The 9,675-nt window shown below is 39.6% G+C and overlaps 1 protein-coding gene across 13 annotated transcripts in view, besides 3 other annotated features; it reads right to left on the bottom strand.

Moving 5' to 3' along the window:
- Window positions 1,964-2,093: an enhancer, noted in NCBI's record as "active region_2452". NCBI's record gives its function as "activates an Ori minimal core promoter by ATAC-STARR-seq in GM12878 lymphoblastoid cells {active_cell/tissue: GM12878}" and the evidence as "EXISTENCE:reporter gene assay evidence [ECO:0000049][PMID:35858748]".
- Window positions 2,384-2,523: an enhancer, noted in NCBI's record as "active region_2451". NCBI's record gives its function as "activates an Ori minimal core promoter by ATAC-STARR-seq in GM12878 lymphoblastoid cells {active_cell/tissue: GM12878}" and the evidence as "EXISTENCE:reporter gene assay evidence [ECO:0000049][PMID:35858748]".
- Window positions 2,634-2,733: an enhancer, noted in NCBI's record as "active region_2450". NCBI's record gives its function as "activates an Ori minimal core promoter by ATAC-STARR-seq in GM12878 lymphoblastoid cells {active_cell/tissue: GM12878}" and the evidence as "EXISTENCE:reporter gene assay evidence [ECO:0000049][PMID:35858748]".
- CD46 (CD46 molecule) overlaps window positions 5,842-9,675 on the bottom strand; it is a 43,479-nt gene continuing 39,645 nt past the window's right edge. For 11 of the 13 annotated variants that reach the window (NM_172359.3, NM_172351.3, NM_153826.4 and 8 more), the window contains one exon: window positions 5,854-7,839. In NM_172359.3, the coding sequence (NP_758869.1) occupies window positions 7,767-7,839 (73 nt within the window). In that variant the 3' untranslated portion in view covers window positions 5,854-7,766. Of the gene's footprint in view, window positions 7,840-9,675 lie in introns of all 13 variants that reach the window. The other 2 variants (NM_002389.4, XM_011509563.3) reach the window with 1 other exon arrangement.

Genomic DNA, 9,675 nt, shown 5'->3' with positions numbered 1-9,675 from the left:
AATGAAATTCTATGAGCCAAGAAATAAAATGAGAGAAAAGATTAGGGAAGAGAAGAAATGTTGAAGATCAAGGCTGAGGGATGCTCCCTACTGAATGGGAAAACTCCTTAGTTCCACATGGGCTGTAGACACAGCCCTTCTGCCAGCAACTGTTCCTGCAAGGAACTGGTGCTCAACTAAACATACTGTCACATGGTTCCTTGAAGGGGCACAGCACTGATTTCACTTGCATTATAAAAGATTGAGTGGTGCTTTTGACTATTAGTTTATGTCAACACTTCAAAACAAGATGAGCCAGTTTTTTTTTGTTTTTTTTTTTTGTTTGTTTGTTTGTTTTAGACGGAGTCTCACCCTGTCACCCAGGCTGGAGTGCAATGGCACTGTCCCCGCTCACTGCAACCTCCGCCTCCCGGGTTCAAGCAATTCTGCCTCAGCCTTCCGAGTAGCTGGGATTACAGGCGTGGCACCTCCACGCCCAGCTAATTTCTGTATTTTGTAGTAGAGACGGGGTTTCATCATGTTGGCCAGGCTTGTCTCGAACTGCTGACCCCGTGATCCACCCACCTCAGCCTCCCAAAGTGCTGGGATTACAGGCGTGAACCACCTCGCCTGGCCCAGTGAGCCAGTTTTGTAAAGCTATTCAGAGATTAGCCAGATTTGATTTGATAGGGGATCAAGCTTGTAGGATCTTCAGGAAGGCGGGCTGTGGCCCCTTGATCAGGCTTTTTGCACAGGAGGTGCATGACTATGAACTACCCTCAGTAGAACTCTTTTAAGCCAGTGGCTTGCAATAAATGATGGCAAATCAGCCACCTAGGAAGCCATTTCTAAGCCCAACCCCCTGCCACAGTCTTCCTCTAGATGGCTGCCCTGCCCAGTGGGCTGAGAGTGGGGGGCGGAAGTAGCATTTGCTGGGAAGACTTGCCAGTACATATGTTGCACCCCCTCACTGCAGCTGCAGTGCTATTTCAGGCTGTTGATGGAAGAACCCATGTTCTAATCCCCAGGATGTGGTGGGAAGACCCTAAGTGGTGGTGTTAGTTAAGACCCTAAGTTATATTGTTTTGTTCACTTCCCACTGAGATAGGCTACAATAGTATTAAATACCTATAGGTCAGACATTTTTGGGGTCTGTTGTACTACCTACCAATTAAACAGTTTTTGATCCGCCCACCACGCTCAAAGCTCCAGCCTAGGTGTTGCAAATACAGACGACAGATTTTTGCTCTCAGGAGGCCCTGATTCCAGTCCTCAAACGAGTAAGTGTGAAATTGAGTGCAGCATTAAAGCACAAAAACAATGATTTGAGACGTCTTTTCTATAAAAGAAGTTTATAGCACTCTCATTGAATGCTTAAATAGTGCCACACTGCTAAGTCGTGAGAAGCAAAATGTAACTGCGGTGCCTCAAACAGGATTATTTTGTTTTATTCATTTGGATGCGGACAGCTCTTTATCTAAAATTGCCATTCTGAGGTGGTTTTGCACAATAAATTGGTAATTATGTAGACTGTTTCTTCCAGAGACAGCATCTTGAATCGGGTTTATGAAGCCATGCTATCAACCTAGGTAGAAAATGCTTTGTAGGACATGGGTCCTGCTTATCTAAATTTTACCAGATTTTATTAGCTGTAAATTTATAAGCGGGTCTTGGTGAATAGATAATGAAAAAAATATTGAGTGGGGAGGCTTATTAGACTGACAGCACCTTCAAGACTCATGCAAGTTGGACTGGAAAATCCCACCTGTGGAAGTAAAACACTGATGAGTCCTTAATAAATATGGATGAGACAAGTCAAATATTTGGCCAATTTAGGTGAAACAGAAATAAGTCTAGAACTGGACAATTATTTGTGTAACATACTGGCCCAGACCTTCACTTTGAGAAGCTGGTGTGTAGTTTCAGGAGAGTACCTGGCAGACTAGTGTGTCCATACTTCGATGGAGCTTGAGAGTTTTCCTTGAACACAAAAGTTGTATTTTTGAGTTTATTCTAGTATGATGGTGCCCTACCCTATCTTCCTATTCAGTTCACCCAAAGAGCCTTTAAATTAGTGTTCCCTTGGTCCCATCCCTACAGTCTCTGGTTTTGCTGGTCTGGGAATGGGTCTGGACATCACTGTTGTTTTAAAGTTGAGAGCCTCTCTTCTGTGGTCTTGTTCCTAAAACGCTTTACTACTCACTGTGGTCTGAGGGCCCCCAGCACTGGTGTGTTAGTTTCCTGTGGCTGCCCTAAAAAATTACCACAAACATGGTGTCTTAAAACAACACACATTTGTACAGTTACAGATTCCAGAAGCCTGCAATCAGCTCACTGGACTGCAAGGGCCACCCGCCCTCTCAGAAGCGCCGGGAGAGAACAGGTTTTCTTGCCTTCTTCAGCTGCTAGAGCTGCGTTCTTTGGCTTGCACCCCCTTCCTCTGTCTTCCAAGCCAGCGGGGCAGTCTTTTGCTTCAGTGGCCATGTTGTCTTCTGGCACAGTCACATCTCCCCCTGCCTCCCTCTTAGAAGGACCCTTGTGGTTACATTTAGGGCCCCCACCTGGATAATCCAGGATAATCTCCCTATTTCAATTTTCTTAATCTCATCTGTAAAGACCCTTTTGCCATATAAAGTAACATTCACAGGTTCCAGGTATTAGGACTTGGATATCTTTAGAGGCCATCATACAGCCCACCACAAACAGCTCCTTAGGCACTCATTAGAAATGCAGAACCTCAGGCCCCAACCGATACCTTTTGAATCTTCTGATTCTAATTTAAGAAGATCACCATGTAACTCACTAGCACACTAAGACTTGAGAAGCACGATGCTATGGGAACCTAACCAAAGAATTCTCAAGTCCCAACTTAAATACAAATTTACAGAGTATTTTTCCTAGGAACGCTTTCAGGTGGAGGAGATTAATCAGACGATAGATAATTTTCCTGAACACCATTCTGAAGTGCTTCTCTAAGCATTTGTTCCTGAATTCTCTCTCAATGAAGCCACAAGCCCCAAACACCAGGATTACTGTTTACAGGGGTTCCTGTTTACAGTAGTTTAGCACAGGGTTTGCCACACTGCAGCATATTATTATAGTTTAGTTTTGTAAAAAGCTACATGAGAGAGGTAAATCTTATAAATGGAGGTGGAGTCTCCTAACACCAGTTTTACCACCTCTGTACAGGTTTCCCTGGGCTATGTACTATCGAATCAGGAATCAGGAAGGGCGGCTTTTTCAAATGTTATCTATACTTTTGGCAATTTGTTCAAACGTTCTGCTGGTATGTGAGAGGGAAGGAAAAATTGTTTATTGACCACAGATCCACAATATTATACTTCTCCTATACTTAAGCAATAAGGGACAGCATTTAAAACTCTTTTAAAAATGTTAATCTTGGCTGGGCACAGTGGCTCATGCCTGGATCCCCAGTAATTTGGAACACTGAGGCAGGCAGATTGCTTGAGGCCAGGAGTTCGAGACTAGCTTGGGCAACATGCGAGAGCCCGTCTCTACAAAAAAAAAAAAAAAATACAAAAATTATCCAGGCATGGTGGTGCACACCTGTAGTCCCAGCTGTTGGGGAAAGCTAAGTTGGGAGGATCCCTTGAACCCAGGAGGTTGAGGCTGCAGTAAGCTGTGATTGAGCCACTGAGCTCCAGCCTGGGTGACAGAGCGAGATCCTGTGTCAAAAAATAATTTTGATTTCACGGAAGGAGAAGAGGACTAGTCTTATACCATATCCCAAATGAAATTGAAAATGTCTTCTGGGAATCACAGCAATGACTCAAACTTCTGAATAGTGACTAGGTTTGAGCTGGTAAGGAAGGGATTGTCAAATGCCGTGACAGTCCACAGGAGGGCAGCAGTGCTCCGATTTACAAAGGATTAGTCATACTAGTGTAACCTTTTCTGAGTGAGCCTAGAAATTCTGATGAAAACAGTGTAGTCCAGGAAAAAAAAAAAAAAAATCTGTATGTACAATCACTCAATTTTGAATCATTTCTGGAAGTTATTAGACTCCATGTTAAATCCTACTTAAGTACAAGTATGCAAAATTTAAAAATATGCAGAAAAGCTCATTCTTGGTTAAAATGTTAGCTGAAAGACATTACTAAGTTTTAGAATACCATAGAGTTGACTATTTCCCACAAACCCTAAAATCTACTTGAACACCACAAATTCATATTCCTTCTAATCCCAAGTCCCTTCAGCATTCTTACAGATTTATTGTTAGTTACCTTACAAAGTAACTAACTGTCCCCATGTATTTTATCCCAATTTAAAAAATACATTACAGTCTCAAGGTCACATAAGATTTTCCAAAATGCTCTATTCATAGTCAATATAATTTTCAGGCCGGGTGCGGTGGCTCATGCCTGTAATCCCAGCACTTTGGGAGGCCAAGGTGGGCGGATCACCTGAGGTTGGGAGTTCGAGACCAGCCTGACCAACATGGAGAAACCCCGTCTCTACTAAAAATACAAAATTAGCCAGACGCGGTGGTGCATGCCTGTAATCCCAGCTACTCAGGAGGCTGAGTCAGGAGAATCGCTTGAACCCAGAAGGTGGAAGCTGTGGTGAGCCGAGATAGTGCCATTGCACTCCAGCCTGGGCAACAAGATCGAAACTCCATCTCAAAATATGTGTGTGTGTGTGTGTGTGTGTGTGTGTGTGTGTGTATATATATATATATATATATACACACACACACATATATATATAATTTTCACCTAGTGTTTTATTAAACAGAATGCTTCTGTATTTTTATGTTTATTTGAGACAATGCTTCTGTATTTCTAAACAACAGCTAGCCTTGTTCAGTTAGCCAAACAACAAAACCTTAATTCAAGTCTTCAATGAAATTTTCTGATTTAATAGGCTGAATTAAGAAAGCCATAATTTTCTTCTATAAATATAAGCCTTTAACTTCTATCTTTACAAGTTTATATAGAAAAATTTACTGTGGGGCTTGAGATTTACTAATGCATGGGTTTTCAACCTTAGCTGCACTTTGGAATCATTTAGGACGCTTGGAAATCCCTACACCCAAACCACATCCCAGATCAATTACACTAGAAATCTCTAGGGGTGGGACCCAGGTGTCTGTAAATATCCCCCGGTGATTGCAATGTGCAGCCATGGTTGAGAAACACTGAAGCCTGCTCTGAGAAATTTAGCAATCCGACTTAATTCAAATCTGCAGAGAGAGCAACAATGATTTTTGCAGAAACAACCAAATCCTACTAGTTACATAAATTTTATACTTTGTTAGGACTTGGGTTTTTATTTAGCTCTACATATGCGATCATAGGATGCAGAAGATATATCTTCTACTGGACACGTATATATAGATGCTTAAATGTGGCTATCCCAAGGTTAGGTAATAATAAAGACTATAAGAGCTGGGCAGAAATCAGGCACAGTTTCATGAAGGGTAATATCTGAGCTGGGCCTTGGAAGATGCATAGGATCTCAACAGGACAGTAGGTGTTTCAAGCAACAATGAACTAGGAATACAGCAGAAAGCACAGGGGAAATGGTCAGGCTTGACTGAGAGTAGGTTATTTGAAGAAGTGCAATAGAAAATGCTTGGGGAAGAAAGTTGGGATTTAATTGTAAAAGGTCTTCAAGTATCAGGCTAAGAAATGTGGACTTCATCCAGTAGGTAATGTGATGTCACTGGATATCTGTGCAGTATCTATGTGATGGGTTGGGAGTGGAGAAGCCTGGGGATACTTAAGGGTCTGAGCTAGGAGGGACAGGAGGAATGGCTGTGGGAGTGGAATGGTTAGAAGATGGGCCCAATTAGAAACATACTTCAATTTGAGACAAAACCCACTAGAAATAAACACATCATCATGAAACATCTCCAAATGTACAATTTTATTTTAACAGATTTCAAGAGTCCATTTTTTAAAAAATGAGCAATAAAGAACCTCTATCAGTGAGACTTCTCATTTTATAGCAAATACATTTTTGCAGCTTAAATTTTCTTGAATTCATATACGCTTCTGTCATTTAAACAAACTTCCAGAGAAAACTGGTCTCTATATATTTAAGTAACAAATTTGACAAAATACATATTTATACATATATAGATCTCTAATATAAATATTAAATTTGAAAAAATCAAATGTGAAGCAGAAACTGCTATACAAGTATATTGTATAATATTTATTTTATACATTAAAGTATTTGGTTGAATATACTTCAATTAGGTTTCTAAAAAACACCATTATCTGCTTCTTAGTAATTGCGACATTCTTGAAAAGCATGTGAAACGGGTATAAACTTCAACTCTGTGCTTAATTCAGAATTCCTGTTTGTTCTCCTCAAACTTTTATCTTCCTAAAGCATCTTGCCAGAGACTACAAAGGAAAGGAACATTTACAGAGCACTATAAACATGTCTTTGGACAGTAAAACAGTATTTATTCTTCTACACTCTTGATTTTCCAATCATATCTTCCTCAAGGCAATGTTTCTTTGGCCCAATTTGTGCAACTAAACATAAAATTTCAAAACACAACTTTTAACAGTGTGATATGAAATGCAGTGGCAGTCCCTGCTTTTCGCCTGCTGGCTTCTTTGAAAGAAACTGCTTGGCTAAGGGACTCAGTAGAGGGCTGAGATCTGCCTGAGTATAAAGTGCTACCTGAGCTATATTTACTTCTTCCATCCCTTGGTACAATCAACAGCAAATAGACAAAATGAAGTTACCTTCCTGAGATACATGGCTTACTTTGTACTCTGCCTTTTAGGAGATGAGGTAAGACATATACATAGATGGCTTTTACTAGCCAAGGCAATGTAAATGGACTAAGATTCTCATGTGACTTGAGGTTATCTGATGAATTTATTCTCTTCAAAACCACCTACTTTTAGAGGGCATGTTTAACCCCTCTCTTTATTTAAGGAGGGAGAGAAAAACACATGTAACCAGAATTCAGAGTGGGTTACTCAACCTAAGAGAACATACGGAGTTCTCTTTGGGAAAACAACAAGACTACAGTGTTCACTTCGCACCATGAAGTGGCACTCCTGTTATGGCTGTCAGAGTCCTCTCACTTCTTATGAAAGGATGCATCTGATTCTGAAATTACTGATATATTCGATCAGTTAGGGATGTTTTAAAAAGTGAAAACAAATGCCACACATACACTTTCTAGCTTTCTGAAATCACCGAACACATTACAAAAAATAGAGAATTTACCCTATTAACTTTTAGAGAATTTTCCAATAATATTCTTGGTTAAAGAAGCCAAGTTTGTGCATATTCCCAATTTTCAGTGTTCTTGTTTTTATGCACAAGAGCCAAAGTAGTATACACATATTTTTAAGGGCTTTTTACAATGAACGATATATAAAATACATTCTATAGTTGGTGAAAGAATAATCTTAAGAGTTGGCATTAATCTTTGAACAAAAAAGATTTCAAGCCACTTTCTTTACAAAGAAAATATAATTTCATTGTGAACTATATTTCTCTAATTTTGCCAATTTTATAAAATACAGCATATCCCTGCTTTAATACAACCAGGCATGCTGTGCTGACTGGTCCAATAAATCTAAGTGTTATTTAAGGGAAAGCAGGCAATCTGTTCATACCCAAATTCATACAAGTTTCAAAGAAGCATCAAAGGATGCTACCTACATTCAAGCCACATTGCAATATTAGCTAAGCCACAGTTGCACTCATGAGAGTGAAACTACAGAATAACAACTATTGAAGATTTTAATAGAGTCAAAAGATGAACTGGCAAACCAGGTTGTGGAATCTATTCAGCCTCTCTGCTCTGCTGGAGTGGTTGATTTAGTCTGGTAAGTGGCATATTCAGCTCCACCATCTGCTTTCCTGCAAACCAAGGTATAAAGATCATGTCAAAGATAAATATAATTAAGTACAGAAATTAAATTCCAGAAGCCTATTCAGAAAATGAACAATTAAAAAAATATAGTAATGAGCCACCAACCTGGGAAATAAATTATTCTTTTAAAATAATTTCAAATGTTCAACTGGTCTCACTGTAAAAAAAACCTTCCTTTATCCCTGTCTTATATTTTTGATCCCCTCCAAAACAAGAAATAGAGCAGTAGCACACAAAGTACTTAGTAACTATGTCCTCATTTTGATGTAGGGCCAATGGGAAAGACTGGAGACAAACGCATGCTTTCCTGATCCCTCCATTTTAAAGCTGTAGCTCTGGCACAGAACCTTTAAAAAGATAGTGGTTCTAACTGTTCAAGTATGTGATGCCTCATCTACCCCTCACTGTCAAGAAAATCATGTATTCCACTAAGAGTCTCCTAAATAACTAAAGTTTACGTCACACTTTTAGTATAACAATAGACATCTTTATAAAACCTATTATTCTAGTCTAGTGCTGGCCAAAGACAGATGATGCCAGTCATACATGTAATTTAAAATTTTCCAGAAGCCACTTTTAAAAACATAAAAAGGCAAAAATAATTTTATTTTCTTTAACCGAGTATAACCAAAATATTGAGATGTATTTTACATTTTTTTGGCTTAGTCTTTGAAATCCAGTGTGTGTTTGACACTTGCAGCATACCTGACATTGGACTAGCCACTTTGGAAGTCCTTAGCAGTCACGCATGGCTATTGAACTGGACAGCACAGCTCTGGGCCCTCCCTGCCTTAGTAAATTGACTTTAATAGACAAACGAAAACCAAATTCGGACCAGTCATTATTTACTAGTATGTGTGCCACAGCAAACACATTGCCTTTCCAATGTCACAGCTAAGCATGTTAATTCTGGATACTTTAATAACCCATTTATGCCTAGTGTTCCATTACTGGAACGCTAAGCATGTGGAATTTATCTCCTACTGCTCAAGGTCATCGCCAGGGTCTGACTGCAAAAATTCAAAAAATTGCAACCTCAGGCGTAAACGGGTTGGTTCTTCTTTGCCGGGGAGGCCATCATTATGGTTCTCTACTGCGTCATTACTATACTTATAATATTGCAGTTCCCTAAGGACTGTTGTGATGACAGACTTAATGGTTTGGCCTGTCACTGAATTCTCCAAGACCACTATATTTTTCTTTTCTTTTCTTTATTTTTTTTCCTTTGAGACAGAGTCTTGCTCTGTCACCCAGGCTGGAGTGCAGTGTGGTGTGATCTTGGCTCACTTGCAACCTCCTCCTCCCAGGTTCAAGCAATTCTTGTGCCTCAGCCTCCTGAGTAGCTAGGATTACAGGTGTGCACCACCATGCCCAGCTAATGTTTGTATTTTTAGTAGAAACAGGGTTTCACCATTTTGGCCAACCTGGTCTCAAACCTTAAGTGATCCGCCCGCCTCGGCCTCCCAAAGTGCTGGGATTATAGGTGTGAGCCACCAGGACTGGCCACCACTATATTTTTCTAAGTAAATATTTTTTTCCCATAGTAGTAGAATCTCTTTCTTTAAATAAAGTTTTAAATAAAAATCCAATCTATGCCAAAGATAAAAGGCATTAACATAAATTTAAAGAAACATTTATTGGATATAACAATGAAGCTATTTTGAAGATGGCAAAATATTAACTACAGCATTCATTAAATTATCTTCAAATGTTTACAGATACCCTGAAGCTCAGAGAGAGTCTAAAAACTATTTTCCTAGTTGGCTTTAGTCTCAAAAGTGTCCTAAGAGACTAAGAAGATATAGTAGGCTTCCCTTATCCAC

Source organism: Homo sapiens, chromosome 1 (assembly GCF_000001405.40).
Source record: "Homo sapiens chromosome 1, GRCh38.p14 Primary Assembly".
NCBI classification, from domain to species: domain Eukaryota; kingdom Metazoa; phylum Chordata; class Mammalia; order Primates; family Hominidae; genus Homo; species Homo sapiens.
Note: the sequence above shows the minus strand (reverse complement) of the source record. Positions and strands in the feature narration are given on the sequence as shown.